The 21,095-nt window shown below is 58.4% G+C and overlaps 2 protein-coding genes across 8 annotated transcripts in view, besides 8 other annotated features; one reads left to right on the top strand and one right to left on the bottom strand.

Annotated features, from left to right (window-relative positions):
- The window catches only part of MARK2 (microtubule affinity regulating kinase 2), a 71,911-nt gene extending 69,086 nt beyond the window's left edge, over positions 1 to 2,825 (top strand). For 3 of the 5 annotated variants that reach the window (NM_001039469.3, NM_004954.5, NM_017490.4), the window contains 2 exons: positions 65 to 109; positions 682 to 2,825. In NM_001039469.3, coding sequence (NP_001034558.2) covers positions 65 to 109; positions 682 to 1,042 — 406 coding nt within the window. In that variant the 3' untranslated portion in view covers positions 1,043 to 2,825. The remainder of the gene's footprint in view (positions 1 to 64; positions 110 to 681) is intronic. The other 2 variants (NM_001163296.2, NM_001163297.2) reach the window with 1 other exon arrangement.
- Positions 2,062 to 2,356: a silencer, noted in NCBI's record as "tiled region #844; HepG2 Repressive non-DNase unmatched - State 18:Pol2, and K562 Repressive non-DNase unmatched - State 18:Pol2". NCBI's record gives its function as "represses a minimal TATA promoter and a strong SV40 promoter by Sharpr-MPRA in HepG2 and K562 cells {active_cell/tissue: HepG2 | K562}" and the evidence as "EXISTENCE:reporter gene assay evidence [ECO:0000049][PMID:27701403]".
- Positions 3,035 to 19,567, bottom strand: RCOR2 (REST corepressor 2). Of its 3 annotated transcripts, XM_047426828.1 has the most exons (14): positions 18,971 to 19,567; positions 11,601 to 12,123; positions 8,135 to 8,366; positions 7,360 to 7,416; positions 6,983 to 7,063; positions 6,707 to 6,759; positions 6,460 to 6,621; positions 6,222 to 6,346; positions 6,066 to 6,135; positions 5,759 to 5,974; positions 4,675 to 4,752; positions 4,481 to 4,538; positions 4,110 to 4,339; positions 3,035 to 3,984 (listed from the first exon to the last, which is right to left on the bottom strand). In XM_047426828.1, the coding sequence occupies exons 2-14, from the start codon at positions 11,685 to 11,687 to the stop codon at positions 3,670 to 3,672; spliced, it is 1,764 nt and encodes a 587-aa protein (XP_047282784.1). In that variant the 5' UTR covers positions 11,688 to 12,123; positions 18,971 to 19,567; the 3' UTR covers positions 3,035 to 3,669. The 3 variants fall into 3 exon arrangements, with proteins under 3 accessions (XP_047282784.1, NP_775858.2, NP_001350577.1); NM_173587.4 differs by lacking the exons at positions 11,601 to 12,123; positions 18,971 to 19,567 and having other exon boundaries at positions 8,135 to 8,969; NM_001363648.2 differs by lacking the exons at positions 4,110 to 4,339; positions 11,601 to 12,123; positions 18,971 to 19,567 and having other exon boundaries at positions 8,135 to 8,969.
- Positions 6,472 to 7,424: an enhancer, noted in NCBI's record as "H3K4me1 hESC enhancer chr11:63682139-63683091 (GRCh37/hg19 assembly coordinates)". NCBI's record gives its function as "activates a minimal SCP1, AML or CMV promoter by ChIP-STARR-seq in primed H9 embryonic stem cells {active_cell/tissue: H9 hESC(primed)}" and the evidence as "EXISTENCE:reporter gene assay evidence [ECO:0000049][PMID:30033119]".
- Positions 8,046 to 8,709: an enhancer, noted in NCBI's record as "H3K27ac hESC enhancer chr11:63683713-63684376 (GRCh37/hg19 assembly coordinates)". NCBI's record gives its function as "activates a minimal SCP1, AML or CMV promoter by ChIP-STARR-seq in naive H9 embryonic stem cells {active_cell/tissue: H9 hESC(naive)}" and the evidence as "EXISTENCE:reporter gene assay evidence [ECO:0000049][PMID:30033119]".
- Positions 8,801 to 8,920: a silencer, noted in NCBI's record as "silent region_3448". NCBI's record gives its function as "represses an Ori minimal core promoter by ATAC-STARR-seq in GM12878 lymphoblastoid cells {active_cell/tissue: GM12878}" and the evidence as "EXISTENCE:reporter gene assay evidence [ECO:0000049][PMID:35858748]".
- Positions 9,061 to 9,120: a silencer, noted in NCBI's record as "silent region_3449". NCBI's record gives its function as "represses an Ori minimal core promoter by ATAC-STARR-seq in GM12878 lymphoblastoid cells {active_cell/tissue: GM12878}" and the evidence as "EXISTENCE:reporter gene assay evidence [ECO:0000049][PMID:35858748]".
- Positions 9,798 to 9,847: a silencer, noted in NCBI's record as "silent region_3450". NCBI's record gives its function as "represses an Ori minimal core promoter by ATAC-STARR-seq in GM12878 lymphoblastoid cells {active_cell/tissue: GM12878}" and the evidence as "EXISTENCE:reporter gene assay evidence [ECO:0000049][PMID:35858748]".
- Positions 12,021 to 12,683: an enhancer, noted in NCBI's record as "NANOG-H3K27ac-H3K4me1 hESC enhancer chr11:63687688-63688350 (GRCh37/hg19 assembly coordinates)". NCBI's record gives its function as "activates a minimal SCP1, AML or CMV promoter by ChIP-STARR-seq in primed H9 embryonic stem cells {active_cell/tissue: H9 hESC(primed)}" and the evidence as "EXISTENCE:reporter gene assay evidence [ECO:0000049][PMID:30033119]".
- Positions 12,684 to 13,344: an enhancer, noted in NCBI's record as "H3K4me1 hESC enhancer chr11:63688351-63689011 (GRCh37/hg19 assembly coordinates)". NCBI's record gives its function as "activates a minimal SCP1, AML or CMV promoter by ChIP-STARR-seq in primed H9 embryonic stem cells {active_cell/tissue: H9 hESC(primed)}" and the evidence as "EXISTENCE:reporter gene assay evidence [ECO:0000049][PMID:30033119]".
- Positions 19,568 to 21,095: the final 1,528 nt, after the last annotated feature.

Raw genomic sequence — 21,095 nt, forward strand, 5'->3', positions numbered from 1 at the left:
GTCTGTGGCGGCGGAAGGAGCGAGAGATCCCAGCACTAAACTCTCCCTCGCTCTGTTTTTTGAGGAACCTGAATGAACCTGAAAGCAAAGACCGAGTGGAGACGCTCAGGTGAGAGGGCTGGAGCCAGCACTGGCCCTGCCCGGGCCACCGGGCTTGCCACAGCCTCCTGCTCCTCTCTTCCTTCTGCCACTTGGCTCTTCCTCCCGTGGTTCTGCCCTGTCCCTACCCTCTGGGGCCTCCCTTTCCTCAGAGAGTTTCCCCTTCCCAAACCCAATTGCAGGAGTTACGGGCCCTTCTCCTCAGGTCTGGTATATTCTGGAAGTCGGAGTTCTGGGTCGGGTGGTTGGGGCTACAGATTCCTACCCCTGGACTATCCCACCTCCCTGTGCTCGGAGGCTTCTTTCTGGAGAGAGAGTCTGTGCTCGTGCTGTTGAGGGCACTGGTGTCTTCCCTGACCCCACCCCGCCTACCCCAAGGCTGGCTTCTCCTCCCCTTCGCTGTCCTGAGAGATGGGGGTTGGAGGACTGCCACCCTCCGCCCCCGCAGGCCAGGGGCCACGCCTGGCTGCTCCTGCTCCCTCCCGCTCTCCTCTCTGGGCTCAGGGGCTGTCTGCCAGGGTGGCTCTCCTGGGGTGGGGTGCCTCAGCCCCCCCGTGACGCCCGCCTCTGCCCTCTCCACAGACCTCACGTGGTGGGCAGTGGCGGCAACGACAAAGAAAAGGAAGAATTTCGGGAGGCCAAGCCCCGCTCCCTCCGCTTCACGTGGAGTATGAAGACCACGAGCTCCATGGAGCCCAACGAGATGATGCGGGAGATCCGCAAGGTGCTGGACGCGAACAGCTGCCAGAGCGAGCTGCATGAGAAGTACATGCTGCTGTGCATGCACGGCACGCCGGGCCACGAGGACTTCGTGCAGTGGGAGATGGAGGTGTGCAAACTGCCGCGGCTCTCTCTCAACGGGGTTCGATTTAAGCGGATATCGGGCACCTCCATGGCCTTCAAAAACATTGCCTCCAAAATAGCCAACGAGCTGAAGCTTTAACAGGCTGCCAGGAGCGGGGGCGGCGGGGGCGGGCCAGCTGGACGGGCTGCCGGCCGCTGCGCCGCCCCACCTGGGCGAGACTGCAGCGATGGATTGGTGTGTCTCCCCTGCTGGCACTTCTCCCCTCCCTGGCCCTTCTCAGTTTTCTCTTACATGTTTGTGGGGGGTGGGAGATTGTTCTCCAGCACCCCACATTCACCCCTGCCCAGAGATTCCCCCTTCTCCTCTCCCCTACTGGAGGCAAAGGAAGGGGAGGGTGGATGGGGGGGCAGGGCTCCCCCTCGGTACTGCGGTTGCACAGAGTATTTCGCCTAAACCAAGAAATTTTTTATTACCAAAAAGAAAAAAGAAAAAAAAAATCCCAGCGGCCACCTTTCCTCCCTGCCCCATTGGGACAGTCGAGACTGGATCTGTGGGGTTTCCCGGGAGGGTGGCTCAGGGCTGGAACACTCTCAGGCAAGAGTGGTGGAGCTCCCGTCAGGCCCTCCGCCAGGCCCACTGTGGGCTTCTCCCCTCTCCTCCCTCCTTCCCCTCCAAGCAAACCACCAGAGGTGGCCTTCCCCTGACCTCAGGCCCCTGGGCTGGAGGCCTGGGCGGTGGGGCAGGGGGCGGGGGTGCTGCGCAGCCCTGCAGTGGGTGGGGCTGGGGGCTGCTCCGGGGCTGCTGAGGCTGGAGGGCCGGCACAAGGCTCCGCCTCCCTCCACACTGTACCCTCTGCCCCTCCTCCCCAGAGCTGGGCATTTCCTTCCACAAGCTGCTGTGGGGACGTGTGTTCCCTCAAAGTCTGTGCCATCTTCTCCCACCCCTCCCGGGTAGAAGGAGGGGCTGACCCCAGGGCTGGGAGAGGGGAGGGGACTGGAGGGCAGACTGGCTTCTCGGTCCCCAGGGGGCCGCTTGGGCTGTTGGTCTCCAGAGCAGGGCCACTGGGCACTCTGTGATGGGGGAGCCTTTGTCTGAAAGCACAGCCCCCTCGCCCTTCCTCTCCCCATGGCTTCCCCTTCATTGGCATTAATCTGGGCACCAGCTCTCTCCATAGCAGTGACTTCCCTCACCACTCTCATCTCTCAGCCTTGCCTTTTCTTCCTGACACTGTCGCCCCCTCCTCTCAGGAGACACTGCCGAGGGCCACCTGGCAGAAGGCTGAGTTAGGCAGCAGGGCCGGGAGCGTCTGCCCTCCACAGGGTGGGGGACAGATAGGCTAAGCGACTCCCAGCTTGCTACCCTCAGTGGCCAGTGTGGGCGTGGGCGGTTTGGGGCGCTTGGCTGGTGGTGGCCACTGCATCCCTTAATTTATTTCTCTGCTGTTTCTGTTCTTGAGAAATTGGGGGTGGGAGTCCTACACAGAGGCTGCCCCTACCCTCACCTGAGTTGTACATTTTTTTGTGATGGGTTTTATTTTTTATTATTTTATTTTATTTTTTTTTTTTTTGATTTATGATGACTCCACCCCTCTTCATCACCCCCGCTCCCAGGCCAGGCTCAGCGATTAAGCCGAGCCCTTGCGTCCTAGGAAGGGGCCTTGCCAACCTCAGCCCTCCTGCCCCACACTCCTACTGCGGCTCAGACCAAGGGCTCCCCCTCCCTCCCTTCCCCCCTCCTGCCCTATGGAACAGCCCGGGTGCTCTGAGGGGGCTGGGAGGGCATGGCTTGGCTCCCAAAGGGGGTAGGGGCCCGGGGCACCCAGGCAAGGTGGCCCCTCCCCGTCTAGCCCCCTCCTCCCCAACCCTGCACTTAGTTTCTCCTCTGGATCAAACACGTAATAAAGAGAATGTTTGGAATCTGAGCTGCCTCCTCCTGTTTCTTCTCCCAGCCAGGCAGGGACCCAGTCTCCTGTGGGCAAGATGTGGCCTAGCCCACCTGCCTTGCAGGAGAGACTTGATTCCTGTCTGGGGCCAGTGCTGGGTGGGCCCAGCTCCCCACTTACCCACAGGGCACAGACAGGAAGCAAAGCCCAGGGCCCTTGCACCAAAAGGGAAAGAAAACTCAGTAAGCTTAGATTTTATTTTTTTTAATTTTTAAAAAATGTTGAAAAATAAATCCATGTCTGCATAAGTTCCCAACCCCCATTTCTCCAAGTTTCTGGAAGGTGGGCTTGGTGGGCACCCTCAGCTCCTTAGCATTTCCCAGCTGGCCCCTGAAGACAGAGCTTCTCTTCCAGCCTCTGCTGCTGTAAGGCCCCTCTGCCCACCTCCCCCCCTGCAGCCTCCCTCCCCACCTCACCCCAGACTTATTGCTAAAAGAAGGGAAAGAGGAATGAGAACAGCCAGCACACCCAACTGCCCTCTCCCCACTCCACGCTAAGGTCACTACCCCGGACACACAAAGGGCAGGACCCAGAGGCCAAGCCCCAGCAGACTAGGACACAGCCATTCCAGTACCGGCCAGGAAGCGAAAGTGCCCTCAGGCCAGCTCAAAGGCCCCTGAGCCCGGCCATGGCCCCAGGAGACAGGCCCAGCTGCCAGGAACACATGCAGAACCCAAAGGGCGGGGCTGGGCTGTCCGAAACTCTGGTCTTACAAAGACCCCGCCAGAGCCCTAGTCCCTTCTGTCCTCAGTGACACCAGAGATGCCTGGGGATGGCCAGCAAAGGGGTCCTGGAGCCCGTGGTTGGTGGAGGACGTCAGGGCTCAGAGTGAGGGTGCTGGGGGCTCCAGAGGGGTTCCAATCAGGGTGGGTGGGGGCTGAGGGCCAGGGCGGGCGCTGTGGCGGGGGGCAGCCAGAGCGGGGCGGATGAGAGGCGGTGGGGGCTGGTTGGGGGCCAGCCGGGGCTGGAGGAAGCGGCCCTGCTGCAGTGGGGGTGGCTGTCGGAGCAGAGTGGGAGCCGTGGGCAAAGGTGGCCTCAGCAGCGGGGGTGGCTGGGACAGCGAGGTGGGAGGTGGAGGGGGTGGTGGCGCAGGGGGCACTGATCGGGGCACGGACGTGGAGACCGATGTAATCTGGACCTGAGGGGAGAGGAAAGAGTGAGAAGCCAGGCTCTTCCCGCCCTCAGCCCAGTCTAAGGACCAAGGCGGCGCCTCACCTCGCCTCGCCTCTCCTCTCTGAGGGGTTTCTCTCACCCCCTTCTCACCTCATCATCTTCCTCTAGGGCTGGGGCTGGCAATGGAGCCCCTCTCCTAGCCTCCTCCATGGGGACTGGGGCTCCAGGGGCCCCATCCTGCTCAGCCTCCCATTCCTGCAGCACCTCCTCCAGATTGAAGCGGCGCCGGTAGCTCACAAAGAAAGTCTTCACCTGGGTCAGAGTCTTGTTCCCAATCACCTCTGCAATAGCCCCAAAGTCTTTGCCATACCTACGGATGGCTGCAAGGGTCAAAAGGGCAGCAGCGTCAATACCCCTTCGAACTAGTTACTTCCCTGACCCTTCCCCTCTGCCCCCCCACTCCTTGGAGGGTGGGGAGATAGATTCCTGGGGTCCTCTCTTCTCACCACAGTTTAACCCACCTTGAACAGCCAAAAGCTGCTCATCTGTGGTCCAGCGGGAGTTGAACTTGGTGTTGGCCTGGAAAGCAAGGAACAACATATCCTTTAGACTCAAAACCATGCAAATGGAAGCCCTGCTCCCCAAGCAGTACTCTTTCTGCTCTGCCTCCAGAGAGAAACCCCCCTTTGCACCCTAACTTAAAGAGCAGCCATACCTCCGGGGGGCGTAGTGGATCAATACCGCCCTCCAGGGCTTGGCGCAGGCTGCTGTTCGTCTGCTTCATGCTCTGTACCTGGGAAGGCCAGGAAGTGGAGGAATATCAGACTCCCATCTCAGGCAGGCCACTATGCCCCTCACAGGACCCTACTTCTGCACAGACACCAGCACCACTGCCCCGGCAAAGCTTTCTGCCATCCACCATCTGGCTTGTTCCTCCTAAACAACTACTCAGTAGGGGAGCCGCTGGGGTTCTCCCCTTTCTGCAGACCAGTTTATATTTTTATTTTTTATATATATATATATATATATATTTTTTTTTTTTTTTTTTTGAGAAGGAGTTTTATTCTTGTTACCCAGGTTGGAGTGCAATGGCGCAATCTCAGCTCACCAAAACCTCTGCCTCCCGGGTTCAAGCGATTCTCCTGCCTCAGCCTCCTGAGTAGCTGGGATTACAAGCGCCTGCTACCACACCTGGCTAATTTTGTATTTTTTTTTAGTAGAGACAGGGTTTCTCCATGTTGGTCAGGCTGGTCTCGAACTCCCGACCTCAGGTGATCCACCCACCTCAGCCTCCCAAAGTGCTGGGATTACAGGTATGAGCCACCGTGCTCGGCCTATTTTTTTTTGAGACGGAATCTCACTCTGTCGCCCAGGCTGGAGTGCAGTGGTGCAATCTCAGCTCACTGCAACCTCCGCCTCCCAAGTTCAAGAGACTCTCCTGTCTCAGCCTCCCGAGTAGCTGGGATTACAGGTGTGTGCCACCACGCCCAGCTAATTTTTGTATTTTTAGTAGAGACAGGTTTCACTATGTTGGCCAGGATGGTCTTGAACTGTGTACCTCAGGTGATCCGCCGGCCTCAGTCCCCCGGAATGCCTGGATTACAGGCGTGAGCCAGCGCACCCAGCCTGCAGACCAGTTTTTAAGAGAAGGCCCAAAAAGAACACCACATTACTCAGAGTCCCAGAGGATGGGGCTCGGCCCCTGAACCATCTCGCTTACACCTCAGCTCCCCCTAGACTTCAGTTCCCAGGTGCCGAATGCCACCTTTGCATAGCCCGTTCATTTCCCAGGGCCCCACCTGGCGCTTGAGGGAGATGAGCTGAGAGTCAAGACCTCGGAGCGTGAGGTTGGCAAGGTCCGGGCTTCCTGACACTGCCGTGAGGCCTTCAGGGCTCAGGTACATGCCCTTGGGTGGGCGACGCCGGGTTCGCAAGGGATGGTGGCGGTACTGAGACACCTGGACCTCCTTTTTCCCAGGGCCTGGGCGTGCATTCAGGGGCCGAGAGGGTAGAGGCTGCCAGTGAAAGGAGAGGCAGGTAGGTGGTGCAGAGCCAGAGAGAGGCAAGAGGACAGGCAGGCAGGGCCCAGAGGCTCTGGGAGCTCACCTCTCTCTTGGGATCTGCAGGATCGGGCTCTCCCTCACTCACGCCTCCTCGACCCTCTTCGAGCTCATCACTGCTGACACAGGGGCCAGGGAGGGAATGAGGCAGCTGCCAGGAGCTCTACCTACCCCCATGCCCAGTGCTTGCTCCTGCCCCCACCTGTCTTCTTTGTCCTTGCGGCCCCCCAGCCGCCGGGCCTGTCTGTCCATCACACTAGTTCGGCTGCGGGTCTTCTTCCAAGAGTAGTAGTATTTCACCAGGCTGGGAATCAACTTGTCAGGCAGCTGGAGGAGGCAACGCCAGAAGCTGGGGACCACTCAAGACTCTGGGCCCCAGGTAAGCTCTTCAGAAAGGAGGGGCAGAGGAGCGCCGGGGAGTGGGGGTGGAAGGGCTTTACCATCTGCTGGATCCGCTGGAAGCATTTGCCATGGAAGCCAAAGGCCTGTTCAAACAGCACCTTGTCCTCTACTGTCCACTCGTCAGGGAATGGGGTGAAGTTGGCCAGGTCGGCCAGCGACTTCTCCACATCGTGCTTATGCCACAGAAGCATGCCCAGCGCCTGGCCCGGGGCAAGGGGCAGCTGAGCCTGAGCTGCCCCGGCACCGTTCCACCCCATTCCCAAGTCCCTGGGGGCCAAGGCTCACCTGCTCAATGTTGTAGCCATGCTTCTCCTTGGCCATCGCAATGTACTTGTCAACTGCAGGGGCAGCAGGGGCAGGGTCTTGGTGAAGGGGGTTATAGCTCCTAACCCAGGCCTGTCCAGAAAGGGACCACCCCACAACGGCCAGGTCCCTGAACACGAGCCCCAGGGCAAGGGTTGGACCCACGAACACCTCAGCTTCCAGCCCCCTTCTGAGAAGAGCTAGCTTGGAGCTGGGATGAACCCAAGCCCCCACCTCCCAGGGCTGTGCCCCACTCACGCTTGGCATCTGACACACAGTGGTTGGGTGACCACACCAGCATCCCCTTCAGCTCCTTGTTGCTGTAGCGTGCGGGGCTCTCTGAAAGGCCGAGGAGCAGGAGGGAAGACACTCAGATCAGCCTGGTGGCACAAGCCTAGACCCATGGCCAGAGGGCAGCAGAGGAGTGGAGCCAGGGAGGTTGAGGCCCAGAAGGGAAGGAGGGGCAGAGACCCAGACAGGAAGGCAGGGCAGGAAAGCAAACCATGCTGGGGGGCCACCCACCCCTGCCAGCCTGCCCTTCCAGGGGAGCCAATCAAGGGCGCCCCAGGTGGGGCTGCAGGCCAAGCCCCGGGCCTCCACCCCCACCCCACTTCACAGCCTGTCCTGCGGCTCACCAGGCTTGCACTCCGGAATTACGGCCTGGTAATTGGTTCCAACGCGGATCATGCTGTCTGTGGAGCCAGGGGGAGGCAGTCAGGACTCCAGGGAGGGCGGGCGGGAGGGAGGATGTGGCGGGCGGGGGAGGTGGCCGGCCTGGAGTTCTCCTTCCTGACCACCCAGGGCCCCCACCTTCCAGGAGGCTCACTTTTCCCTCATTGTACCCCAGTTACCTGCAGCCACAGAAGGGACTGGAAGAGGAAAAGACCCTGTCCAGCCATGGCCATTGGGGCTGGAGGGTGGACAAGGGGACAGTTTTAGAGCCCAGGCCAAGCAGGGTGCTTTGTTCCGGGGGAGGGGAGCGGGGTTGGAGGGCAGCCCCTAGACCTGGACCACAGCCCTGCAAGGAACCCAAGGCTCCTTCCCACCACAGGAGCCTCACAGCTCTGTGTGGAGGTGTCTCTCCAGTCCCTGCTCCAGCCAGACCTCAGTCCCCTGCAAGGTGGCAAGGTATGAGGGACCCACTCTATGCAAGGGAGGGATGCCTCGGTCCCTGAGGGGGTGAGGGCAGGGCAGGGGCCGGCAGGACGCCTCCACAGCAGCTAGGGGCCCAGGTTCCAGATTGGCTGTGCCGGCAGCCTGGGTTTGTGGGAGAAGCAACGCAGAGGCTCCAATCCAGGAGAGGCAGGAGCCATCAGTGTAACAGGCTCGTGGTCTGCAACTCTTCCCCCTCCCGCCCCACTCCGCTCCCCCCAGGCCGGCGCGCCTTTAACCCTAGGCCACCGGGCTCACCGTGCGAGTGCTCCTCCTCGCTGCTGTCATCCTCCGAGTGGGGCTGTCCGCCGTTGGGCACCGTCTTGGCCCGGCTACGGGACAGGATCCCAGAGCCCGCGCTCGGCTTCTCCATCACTGAGGGCATTACCCCGCCCAGCTGCCCCGGGGGGCGCAGGAGCCTTCGGAGAGCGACAGTGGTTGCCGCACTCGCTCCGAGTGCCGAGCCCGGCCCGGCCTGGAGAGGTCGCCACTGAGGTTAGGAGAGGCAGGAGGTCAGCGTGGCTAGGGTCCGGCGGGGTGGGAGCCCACCTGGTAGCCCCAGCGCTCTCCACGACCCCCACGAGCCAGGGCGTCAGAAAAGTTTGTGCAGAAGTGGGGGACGCAAGGGATGAGCGCAAGGTCCGGTGCGGCTGGGGCGTGATTACTATGTACGCCCCTCAGGGTTGGGGTTCCCCTGAAGTCGGGGCCCCCTGTCCTCGGGGCGCCCTGGAACCCCACCGCCCACCTGCCCACGCCGTTCAGCGGCTGGGCGCTGGAGCGCAATCTGCGCCCCCCGGGCTCTGCGCCTCTCAGCTGCGCCGGGGATGCCCCAGTCCCCGGGCGGGGACCCGTGTCCTAAGCAGACCCCTGCCCGCGACGGCAGCCGGCCGGGGCACCGGCGGCGGCGGCGGCGGCGACGGCGGCGGGACGGCGCGCACGGCGCGCGGCGCTGGGCAGAGTTGCCGGGAGGCGGGCGGAGCGCAGCCGCGGGTGCCGCCTCGCACCCTCCCCGGCGCGCTCGCTCTCCCCGCCGCGCTCGGGATGCCGCTTGCTCGCCCGCTCTCCGCCGCCGCTCGCTCCTCGCGCACACAATGAAGCTGCTGGCAGGGAAGTAGTGCCGGCTGCGGCCTCAGCACCCCTCCCCCAGCCGATGCCTCCGCCAGCTGAACATCTGGCCCTGGGGTGGGAGGGAGGGCCCGGGGGGCGGGGCCAGGGGGCCGGGGCCAGACCTCCAGGGGGTGGGATCAGGACCCTGGTGGGGCGCGCGTCCCGCTGCGGGGGCTCCCCTCGCGTCCCTGGGCTCCCAGACTTGCCCCTGGGGGAGACCCCACTGCCCCCCAGGAGTAGCCAGGGGTCAGCCCCACCCACGCGCACACCAACACCACACACCAGTGGGCTCGGGTTACTGCCGCCTGCCCCGGGGGCCCTGGGGCCGCCTGCCCGCCCGCCCGGGTGGAGCCCAGCTTTTCCTTCCATTTCCCTTCCTGCCAAGGAACTCCCCGCCCCCCCTTCCGCAGGGGGGACCCCCCTTATGCGCCCTTGGGGGCCAGAACGGATGGGAGGCTGGACAGGCAAGGAATGAATTCCTCCAAGAGCTACCCAGCCAGAGGCTGGCTTCTGGTGGATCTGTGGGTCCCCAAGGGTCGCCCCAATTCCCTTTAACTGCTGCAGTATGCACCCCTAAACAGTGGTAGCAAGGGCTGAGGGATGGGGAGTGGGAGGTGTAGGGGAAGGTCTGGGCTGCAGGGGAGAGAGGAGCTGGGTCTCCTCCCCACTGGGTTCACTGTCACCCCAGCTGGAAGCAGCATCCCCCTCCCCCCGGACAAGCACGGGCAGAGTGACAGACAGGGAAGCGGGTAGAGCGGCACAGACGGAGATGGGGGAGGGGGTGGGCAGAGACTTTCAAAGCCAGACCCAGCCACCCTGCCAGGCACACAAAGAGCCAGCGCACACACCGGCGGCGGCTCCGAGCCTGCGAGCTGCGCCCGTGCCCGTCCCCGCCGCCCGGGGCACGTGCTGCAGCGCACACAAGCTGAAGCCCCCGCCCGCCGCCCCTCCCACCCGGAGCCCCAGTCTCCTGGACACACCTCCACCCAGGCACACCCCGCTGTGCCCAGACTGAGCCGAGCCCGCACTCGCGCCCTCCTCTCCCTTCCCTTCCTGGTCCACTCTGTAATCAGATTCCTAAATTTAGAAGCAGCCTAGGGCCCAGCCAGGGATCCCTGCCCCCACCCGCTGCCTGCGGCCGAGTGGCCGGGGTGTTGCGGTCGGGCCACGACCCGGCTGGGGCCGCTTGTTCCCGGGGACTCCTGCGGACAGCCAGGGAAAGCCAGGCTCGACCCCACCCGGCTGCTGCGCCGTCGAGCCACATGGGGCCACCCAGCCAGCGGCCACGTTGCCCGCCACACCTCGGGCCAGGGCTACGGGGCCTTTATCCTCCTCTTAAATCATGGATTGGGCACCAAGCCCCAGGGTGGGGAGGTCTGGACAAAGGAGAATGAATGGACCAGGGGCTGGTCTGAGCTAAGGAGGTCTGATTCAAGACTGAGAGTCTTCCCAGGCCGACCCCTCCTAAGTGGCAGGGCGCCATCCCTGTCCCCAGCACCTCCACCCTTTGGAGAGACTCTCATTTCTGTCCCCTCCTGCCTGGCAGGCAACCATTGCTGCACACCAGCCTCTCCTACGGTGCTGTCTTCCATCTTGCCCCCGCCCCCTATTAGGCAGGGCCTCAGTTGAGTCCCCCATCCCCCTTGCCTCCTTCCCAGACTCAAACCTGCACCCCCAGGCTCAGCATCCTGCTTATTTCTTGCCTCCCTACTCCAGGGCTGCCCCAGGTACCCCCAGTCTCTCTAGCAGGGATCCCCAGCCACTGGATTCCCTCCGGCCCAGCATCCCTCTTCCCCGCCTCCTAAGAACCTCATTCTCTTCATTTCTATCTAGAGCCAGGCACTCTGGGCCAAAGGAAGACTCTGCTCTGGAGGTGGGGACAGGGAGGGGAGGTTTATTCCTTGGGGCGGGGGTTGGGAGAGTCCCTAGGCCCTGATGCAATGAGGCTTCTGCCTAGGAGGTGGGCCACGACACAGGAAGTGTGTCCTAGGAGTTTGGGGGCGACTGTGGGGGCCACGGGGTCCAGAGGGAAGGCGCATTCCTAGTGAAGAACCCCCTCATGGAGGGGCAAGGGTGCAGGGTTAGAAGGGGGAGGGGCAAGGCCCCACCCCTCCCACCTGCTACAGCCGCCCCCTCCCCAGCTGGCCCCCTCTTTTGTGCGAAGCCACACAAAGGACAAGGGGCCCCGGCCGGCCTGGCCATCTGCTCCCAGCAGCATGAAGGCTCTTAAAGAGACAGCACCCCCTCCCTGCCGCCCCGGGGCTGCGGGGCGGGGCTGCGCCACCGGATCCGGGCTCCGCGGTTATCCCAGATCCCACCCACCTTTCCCTGGCTCCACTTGTCCCCAGGTCAGAAATCGTCCTCCCCCAGGCCTGGGGCACAGAGGTGCCACGTGGCCAGGAACATGGGGGTGTGGGAGGGGAGGGAAGGAGAGGCAGCCCGGGGACCAGCCCCTCCTCTCCTGCAGCCTGAGGCAGCGGAAGGGGCCAAGGAAGCTGGGCAGCGCGGCCGAGAACCCGGGGCCCTCACCTACCCGAGCTACCTCCGAGCTTGGCGCGAGCCGGAGGGCTCCCGGGAATGCCCTCCCCGCCATTTTCGCCGATGAGCTCGGGCTCACCCTTCCACTGGAAGCGACAGCGCCTTCTTTTCGAGGGCTGCAGGCCAGGACGCAGGCCGCCTGGAAGCAAGTGTGATCAGGGCACATTTATTTCCTACGGTGTGCCAGATGAGGAAACTGAGGTCTTGCACAGCCCCTACACAGGCCTCCGCCAGAAGCTGCATCCCTTGCCTGGGCCAGAAAAGGCTCCTCACCCCTCCAGTCCCCAGGGAAGCCGGCCCTAGCCAGGCCGAGTCCCACTCAGCGCCCTTGCCACACACACAGCTCAGAGACACAAGTCTATATGATGCCTGTGGTGGTTTCCTTGCCTGTCTCTGGCTGGGCTGTGTCCCCATGAGGGCAGGGGCTCTGTTTGCTGCTGTGCTTTCGGGGCCTGGCATACAGTAGGCACTCAGTGTTTGCTGAATGAATAAGTGTCGGAAGCCCTTTGCCTTCACCGGGCTTCTCTGCGCTCTGCCTGCTGGGTTTCTTGCTTCCTCCTTCCTCAAGGTGAGGCCGAGGGGACAAAGGTTGAACAGGGATGCTGGGAGGGAAAAGGAGGGTGACCTTGGGCAAGCCATCCGGCCTCCCCTTGCCGCTCCCTCCTCCCGCAGGCGGGGGCAGCTCCAGCCAATCCCAAGCCCGCCAGCCCTGCCAGACAGACTGGGACTGTCCCGAGCTCCGGCCCAGCGAGCCTGGCCGCTGTGGTGTGTTGCCTGGGACCCTGGCCAGGCCATCAGTGGCCACAGCCAAGGGGCTAAACTTGGGGAGGGAGAGAGGCAGCGGGAGGGCCCCGGGGTTGGGGAGGGAGTGTGGTGGGATCCGAGCCAAAACCTGGCTGAGCAATTAGGGGGCTGGGGGGAGGTGCTTCCATCGACTGGGGGCCTGGCGGGAGGTGACCCTGGGGAAATGGAGGAGGTGGGCTAGAGTGGAAGGACCATGGCAGCTCCCTCTGGGGCCCCCACCCTCTCAGTCCTGCCCAGACAGGAATTCGGTTCCTCCCTCCCCTGCCGCCCACTGGGGCCCTGGGCAGGCTGTGTGGCCCAGGGTGCTGCCCTCCCCTTTTCTGGGCCCTGTCAGTGAACCCCCTGGCCTAGCCGGCACTCCTTCCCCCACCCCACCTCACCCCCCACCCAGGGTTGTGAAGAAGCTGAAAGAGGTGACAGAGGTGGCAATCTGGCGCTTGGCACCACCCCGGCACGGTGGCCGTGCAAGGAGGCGGCAGAGGGAGGCAAGACAGGCACATCTGGGAGTGGCCCTTGGGGGAGGATGCAGCAGACCAGGCGCGGGGTCAGCAAGGAGACTCCAGGCTTCAGACACCCACGTGGGGGAAATCTGATTCCCTGAGCAAATCTGACATCCCTGGGGAAGGGTCAGCAAGACCTCGGGTTGAGATGAGAGGTGACAGGAGCTCCCAGACTCCATGAGGGGGAGCCTGCTTGGTTTCTCCGGAAACTGGGATTGGGGGTGGGGGGCCTCCCCTTGCCCTCACCTGGACAACAGCTGCGCCCTCTGGCGGTGACCGCATGGACCAAGGGGGTCCCACCTCAGTCTGGGAACAAATGTCCTCCCAGAGAGGCTGAGCCTGGCGCCATGTTCCTGGGGAAGTGCCTGGATCATGGTCCCCCTGGGCCATTGGAGTCATTGAGCCTTAAATCCACCCCCAGCAAGGCCTGCCCCAGAACCACCCATCACCCTCCAGTGCAGTCAGGTGGACCAGAGGTCCCTAGAGAAGTGGCAGGAGCTCAGACTTAGGTTGAGTCCTGGCTCCGCTTCTTGCTAGCTACGTGGCCTTAGGTGAATTACTTGGCTTCTCTGAGCCTCAGTCCTTCATCTCTAAAAGGGCAAGATGATCCTGACCTCATTGACTGTTAGGAAGATCCAAGGACATCTCACATGGAATGGAGTAACAACATCAATGCTGGCTTTCATCTGAAGCCGTGCTCCCCTCTTGAGCACCCCCAGCAGGGCCCCCTCTGCCCATGGCTCACTGCTCCATGAGGCAGCCCATGCCCAGTGGACCAGTTCGGGCCAGCCCCACCTTGAGCTCCTGGGTCTGACCTCTGGAGCAAGAAGCTGCTCCATGACATTGGACACTTCACATCTTCTCAACTATGGGTTGAACATTTCCCACAAAGTCCATGTGTTGGAAACTTAATCCCTACTACAACAGTGTTGAGAGGTGGGACCTTTGGGCATGAGGCAGTGCCCTCAGGAATGGATTAATGCCATTATCTCAAGAGTGGGTTAGTTATTGAGGGAGTGGGTTCTAGATAAAAGATGAGTTTGGCCCCCTAATCCCACCCTGCATGTGAGTTCCTGCTGCCATGTGAGGATGCAGCAAGAAGGTCCTCACCAGATTCCAGCACCATGCTCTTGGACTTCCCAGCCTCCCAAACTGTGAGCCAAATAAACTTTTTTGTTTGTAAACTACCCAGTCTCAGGTATTCTGTTACAGCAACACAAAATGGACTAAGATACTCCCTTTAGACATGTCAGCAGTTCCAGATAGGTATCTGGAACTTCAGCCTTCAGTCTGACCTCTCTAATCACTCTAATTATACACTATACACACATAATACAAATATTTTTTTTCTAGACCAACTCTTGCTCTGTTGCCCAGGCTGAAATGTAGTGGTATGAGCTCGGCTCACTGTAACCTCTGCCTCCCAGGTTTAAGCGATTCTTTTGCCTCAGCCTCCCGAGTAGTGGGGATTACAGACATGCGCCACCACGCCTGGCTCATTTTTGTGTTTTTGGTAGAGACGGGGTTTTGCCATTTTGGCCAGGCGGGTCTGGAACTCCTGATCTCAAGCAATTCACCTGCCTTGGCTCCCAAAGTGTTGGGATTACAAGTGTGAGCCACTGCGCCAGGCCACTGAATACAAATTTTTAAATATAGCTTCGATTATATCCCATTCCTTCTCAGCCTTCCACGGTTCCCTATTGCCTTCCAGGAAAAGGTCTCACAGCCCAGTACTCAAGGGGTTTCTAGCCCATGTATGATCCAGCCAAACAGGTGGCTCACCATTCTCTGAGCCTCACCTGGTGGCCCAGGATGCTCCACCCACCCTGCAAACCCTGGCCTGGCTCACCCATCTGCATGCCCCATGCCCAGCCCTTCCCTCAGGGCTGCTGGGTGCTCTGCTCTGCCAGGGCACATCCAGGACTTCTGGCTGAGCAGTGAGTACCCTTCCTGCTCTCCCCACAGTCCCCCTCCACCACTCCAGCCACCATATGGCTCTTAGCATAGGACCTTGCCTCCCACTTCCAGAGGGAAGTGAGGCCATCTGGGAGGAACCCCTTCATGGCCTTTGTCTGCTCCTTCCCCTCCCTGTAGCATAGATGGACCTTCCCCCTTCAAGGCCAACCTCACTCCCAGGCTTTGCATCACCCTCAGTGCCAGCCCCACCACACACACACACCCCAATCCTGAGCACCTTGATTTTCATTTTCCTCTCCTTACTCATGTTTGTCTTCCCCCCTCATCACATGAACCTGCTTAAGTCCATTCATCCTAAACACACACACACCCCTGCACCTCCCGTACCCCACTCCCAACCCTCCCTTCATCCCATGTTCACCTTAGTTGCCCCTTTCAGCTAGCAGTATTGCTGCCTTAAAAAAAAAAAGTGCTTCTTAAAGAGATGTTCACACCCCTCCATCCCTGTCCTCACCTCCCACTCACTCCCCAACTCCACTACTCCACAGAAACCGTTCCTCCAAGGTCACCAGTGACTTTGTTATCTCTAAACCCAAAGGACATTTAGCGGGTATGTTCTCACTTCATCTCTGGGCAGGACTGGACAGACAGGGCCACCTCTAGCTCCAGGATGTGAGCTCCTCCCTGGCTCCCTTCCTGGCTGGACTTCAAACCCTTTATGTGGGTCCTTTGGGCTCCATCCACTCCCTCAATTCCCCTGGCTGAGATATATCAAACCGTGGGCTGTGGATAGCCCCCTCCTTCCCCAGCCCAGACCCCTGACCCCAGGCTGTGAACCCTATATCCTACCAATTGCCTTCTGGACTCAGCATCACTTGCTGTCCCCCAGGCCTGTCCAAAACCATCTCTGAATCTTCACCAATCTTCACCACCATGTGCCCAGCCTGCCCCTTCCCTATCCCTCTTCCTTTTATTTTATTTATTCATTGAGGCGGAGTTTCACTCTTGTTGCCCAGGCTGGAGTGCAATGGCACGATCTTGGCTCACCACAACCTCCGCCTCCTGGGTTCAAGCGATTCTCCTGCCTCAGCCTCCCGAGTAGCTGGAATTACAGGCATGTGCTACCACGCCCGGCTAATTTTGTATTTTTAGTAGAGACAGGGTTTCTCCATGTTAGTCAGGCTGGTCTCAAACTCCCAACCTCTGGTGATGTGCCCACCTCAGCCTCCCAAAGTCCTGGGATAACAGGCGTGAGCCACCATGCCCGGTCTATTTTATTTTATTTTTTGAGAAGGAGTCTCACTCTGTTGCCCAGGCTGGAGTCTGGTGGCATGATCTTGGCTCACTGCAATCTCCACCTCCCAGGTTAAAGCAATTCTCCTGCCTCAGTCTCCTGAGTAGCTGGGATTACAGGCATGCACCACCATACCTGACAATTTTTTTGTATTTTTAGTAGAGACGGGGTTTCACCATGCTGGCCAGGCTGGTCTCGTAATCCTGACCTGAAGTGATCTGCCTACCTAGGCTTCCCAAATTTCTGGGATTACAGACCCTTTATGTCTCTCCCCATTGGGATCCAAAGTAGAAACCTGGGAGTGGCCCTCCACTCTTCCCTCTCCTTTACTTCCTGATCTATCAGTCTCCAACTCTTGTGAAGTCCCTTCTCCCACTGCCCCTCCTGGCCTTCATCCTATTCCTGAAAGAGTCCCCCCACTGGACTCTCTGCCTCCTCTCTTGACTTCCTCTAATCTGTTCTTTATTCGACAGCCAGGGTGATCTTTCTTTTTTATTTTTTGAGATACAGTCTCCCTATAAGGCCCATGCTGGTCTTGGACTCCTGGACTGAAGCTGCCCTCCTGTCTCAGCCTCCTGAGTCACCGTGATTACAGGCACATGCTACCATGCCCAGCCAAGGTGATTTTTTTTTTTTGAGATGGAGTTTCGCTCTTGTTGCCCAGGCTGGAGTGCAATGGCGCGATCTTGGCTCACTGCAACCTCCACCTCCTGGGTTCAAGCGATTCTCCTGCCTCAGCCTCCCGAGTAGCTGGGATTACAGGTGCCTGCCACCACGCCCAGCTAATTTTTTTGTATTTTTAGTACAGCCGGGGTTTCACCGTGTTGGCCAGGCTGGTCCCAAACTCCTGACCTCAGGCGATCCACCTGCCTCAGCCTCCCAAACTGCTGGGATTACAGGTGTGAGCCACTGCGCCCAGCCTCCAGGGTGATCTTTCTAAAACCCAATCTGATCAAGTCAATCCTCTGCTTCTCATTATCCTTGGATTAAGATCAAGCTCCTTAGCATGACTTATCTCCTTCAAAATCTGGTCCCCTGACATCCATCCCCATTCCCCTTTTTTGTTTGGGGATCCATGTGGTGCTATGGCGTTGATCCCATGCCAATGCCAGCCTTTCCCAAGGCCCTGGATACCATGAATGCTTCAGAAATGAACTAGAAACCAAAGCTGGTCCAATCAGCATGTTGTAAATGTAAGACAAAAGACCAGGAAGCTGAGCACAGGAGTGTTGGCTGCCATCTTTGATCTTCGGGGAAAGCCAACACTATGGAGAATACCACGAGGAGATGGAAAAAGCCACCCAAGGCCAGGTGCAGTGGCTCACACTGTAATCCAAGAACTTTGGGAGGCAGAGGTGGGTGAATCGCTTGAAACTAGGAGTTCGTGACCACCTTGGGCAACATGACAAGACCCCTGCCTCTACAAAAAAAAAAAAATTAGCCAGGTGTGGTGGCACGTGCCTGTGGTCCCAGCTACTAGGGAGGCTGAGGTGGGAGGATCGCTTGAACCCAGAAGCCATGAGTGTGCCACTGCACTCCAGCCTGGGCGACAGGGTGAGACCCTGTCTCAAAAAAAAAAAAAAGATGGGAGTCTGAGGCATGAGAATCACCTGAACCCGGAGGTGGAGGAGAAAAAGTCACCCAACCAACCTCACTTGAAGTCACTGAACCTCTGGACCTTTTATTTTTATTTTTGAGATGCACTTTTGCTCTTGTCGCCCAGGCTGGAGTGCAATGGCCCAATCTTGGCTCACTGCAACCTCCACCTCCCAGGTTCAAGCAATTCTCCTGCCTCGACCTCCCGAATAACTGGGATTACAGGCACCCACCACCATGCCCGGCTAATTTTTTGTATTTTTAGTAGAGACGGGGTTTCACCATGTTAGTCAGGCTGATCTCGAACTCCTGACCTCAGGTGATCTGCCCTCCTCAGCCTCCCAAAGTGCTGGGATTACAGGCGTGAGCCACCACACCTGGCCTGAACCTCTGGACCTTTTAGTTATGTAAGGAGTAGGCCAATACATTTTTTCCTTATTGTTTAAGCCTGGTTGATTTCTGTTTTCTGTCACTTGCAATCAAAGCCTCAGAAATAATACACCTCTCAACACTATCCCACTTAACGATATGCCTTAGCTACACTCAGCAACTGGAAATGCCCAGGATGCCCTGAGTCCCCTCTCTTTCCTCCAAGTCTTTATATATACAATACCTGGAATGAAGCTCCTCCTTTCCTTGCTGTCTAATTCTCTCTCTCTCTCTTTTTTTTTTTTTGTTTGTTTGTTTGTTTGAGACAGAGTCTCGCTGTTCAGCAGTGACGTGATCTCGGCTCACCACAACCTCCACCTCCCAGGTTCAAGCAATTCTCCGCCTCAGCCTCCTGAGTAGCTGGGATTACAGGCGCTCGCCACCACACTGGCTAATTTTTTGTATTTTTAGTGGAGATGGGATTTCATCATCTTGGCCAGGCTGGTCTTGAACTCCTGACCTCACGATCCACCCACCTCGGCCTCCCAAAGTGCTGCAGGCATGAGCCACTGTGCCTGGCCTGTTTTTTTTTTTTGTTTTGTTTTTTTTGTTGTTGTTGTTTGTTTTCATTTATTTATTTATTTTGAGACAGTCTCACTCTGTTGCCCAGGCTGGAGTGCAGTGGCGCGATCTCGGCTCACTGCAACCTCTGCCTCCAAGGTTCAAATGGTTCTCCTATCTCAGTCTCTCGAGTAGCTGGGATTGCTAGGCGCATGCCACCATGCCTGGGTAATTTTTTTGTATTTTTAGTAGAGACGGGGTTTCACCATGGGTCTTGTACTGCTGACCTCATGTGATCCACCCAAACTCCTGGCCTCACGTGATCCACCCACCTTGGCCTCCCAAAGTGCTGGGATTACAGGCATGAACCACTGTGCCTGGCCCCCTTGCTGTCTAATTCTTACTTACCTTTCGAAATGAAGCTCAGATATCACCTTCTGCAGGACATCTGCCCCCTCCCTATCTCATCACTTATCACGATCTAATGGAACCACCTACTGGCTTTTGTTTTTTGTTTTTTTGTGTTTTTTTGAGGCAGGGTCTCATTGAGTCACCCAGGCTGGAGTGCAGTGGCAAGATCACAGCTTACTCAGCCTCAATCTCCCCGGCTCAAGCATTCCTCTCACCTCAGCCTCCTGGGTAGCTGGGACTACAGGTGTGTGCCACCACACCCAATTAACTTTTTATTTTTTATAGAGACGGGGTCTTGCTATGCTGCCCAGCCTAGTATTGAACTCCTGGGCTCAAGTGATCTGCCCGCCTCAGCCTCCCAAAGTTCTGGGATTACAGGTATGAGCCACTGCACCTGACCCCACATACCTTTTTATCACCTACTGGAGGCTGTGAGCCCAGAGGGTGGGGCACCTGTCTTACCCCAGCAACTTACACAGTTTCACAGTGGCTGATACACAGTGGGTGCTTAACTAATGGTTGCTGGGAGAATCAGCCTCAGGTGTCCCAAGCACCACTTCCCCAGGAAAGCCCTTCCTAACTGCTCCCAGCTCCCTAACAGCCCCCAGCTCCCTAACTGCCCCCAGCCCCCTTCCTAACTGCTCCTCCCCTCCCTAACTGCCCCCAGCCCCTCTCACTACAGATACCCACACTGGTAGGTCCAAGAAGATCACTTCTGCCAAACCTATCTTGATTTTACCAACATATCAGGACCTGCTCCTTGAAGGCAAAGTCTTGTAATAATAGTAGAAGTAAGAGCCAATTTCAAGTGCTTATTAGTTAGTTTTTCACAACTACATTCCCAAACCCTATTAGTGCAAGTATATAGTAGGTGTTTAAATACCATTGTTAAATAAATTAGTGGAGGAATAAACAAATGAAATGAATGCATATATATACCAACCACCATGTGCAAAATGCCTTACCTGGGTTATCCCATTTTTCCCCCATAGCAGCCCTATTTTCCAGACGAAAGGCTGAGGCTTCAGGTCACCTGCCTAAGATCACACAGCTTGATGGTGGCAGAGCTGAGAGCCAGTCCCAAGCTGGGTGATACCAGAGACATATTTTCAAAATCTTGTGTCCCCTCCCTTTCAGTTAAGATGCATGTGGCTGCAAGTAGAGGAACAGCCACTCAGTGATGACTTGGGCAAAGCAGGCATTTTACCTTTCCTAAGGAGTCAGGAGGTCAGTGTCACCACTGACAGAGGCTCAGTGGTCATCGAGGTCTCAGGTGCTTCTCCTTTCTCAGCATTGTCCCTTCCACGTATCAGATTTCTCCTCATGATCACTAGATGGCTGCAGCTGCTCCAAGCATCCCATCCTCTGAGGACAATTTCCAGAGTGGGAGAGGAGGGGCAGGGAGCACGGACTCTCTCCTTGGCATTTGTCTTGTTATCTATCAGGAAGAACAACCCTTCCCAGGAATCCCAGAACAGCCCCAAGTCCCTTAAACCAATCCCTCAAAGGAGAACAGGATTCCTAGGCTTGGATTAGACCCATGGTGCTTGTACTCCAGCACACCTGCCATGACCCCTACCCATCACCCGAGCAAAGGCGGGGTTCTGCCGTTGTCTTAGTCCATTGTGCTGCTGTAACAGAACATCTGAGACTGGGTTATAAAGAACAGAGGCGCCGGGCGCGGTGGCTCACACCTGTAATCCCAGCACTTTGGGAGGCCAAGGTGGGCGGATCATGAGGTCAGGAGTTCGAAGCCAGCCTGGCCAACATGGTGAAACTCCGCCTCTACTAAAAATACAAAAAATAGCCGGGCATGGTGGCGGGCGCCTGTAGTCCCAGCTACTTGGGAGACTGAGGCAGAAGAATTGTCTGAACCCAGGAGGTGGAGGTTGCATTGAGCCGAGATGGCACCACTGCACTCCAGCCTGGCGACAGAGCAAGACTCTGTCTCAAAAAAAAAAAAAAAAAAAAAACAGAGGCCGGGTGCGGTGGCTCATGCTTGTAATCCCAGTACTTTGGGAGGCTGAGGTGGGTGGATCACCTCAGATCAGGCATTCGAAATCAGCCTAGCCAACATGGTGAAACCCCGTCTCTACTACAAATACAAAAAAAATTAGCTGGG

This window comes from Homo sapiens, chromosome 11 (genome assembly GCF_000001405.40).
Source record: "Homo sapiens chromosome 11, GRCh38.p14 Primary Assembly".
Taxonomy (NCBI): Eukaryota; Metazoa; Chordata; class Mammalia; order Primates; family Hominidae; genus Homo; species Homo sapiens.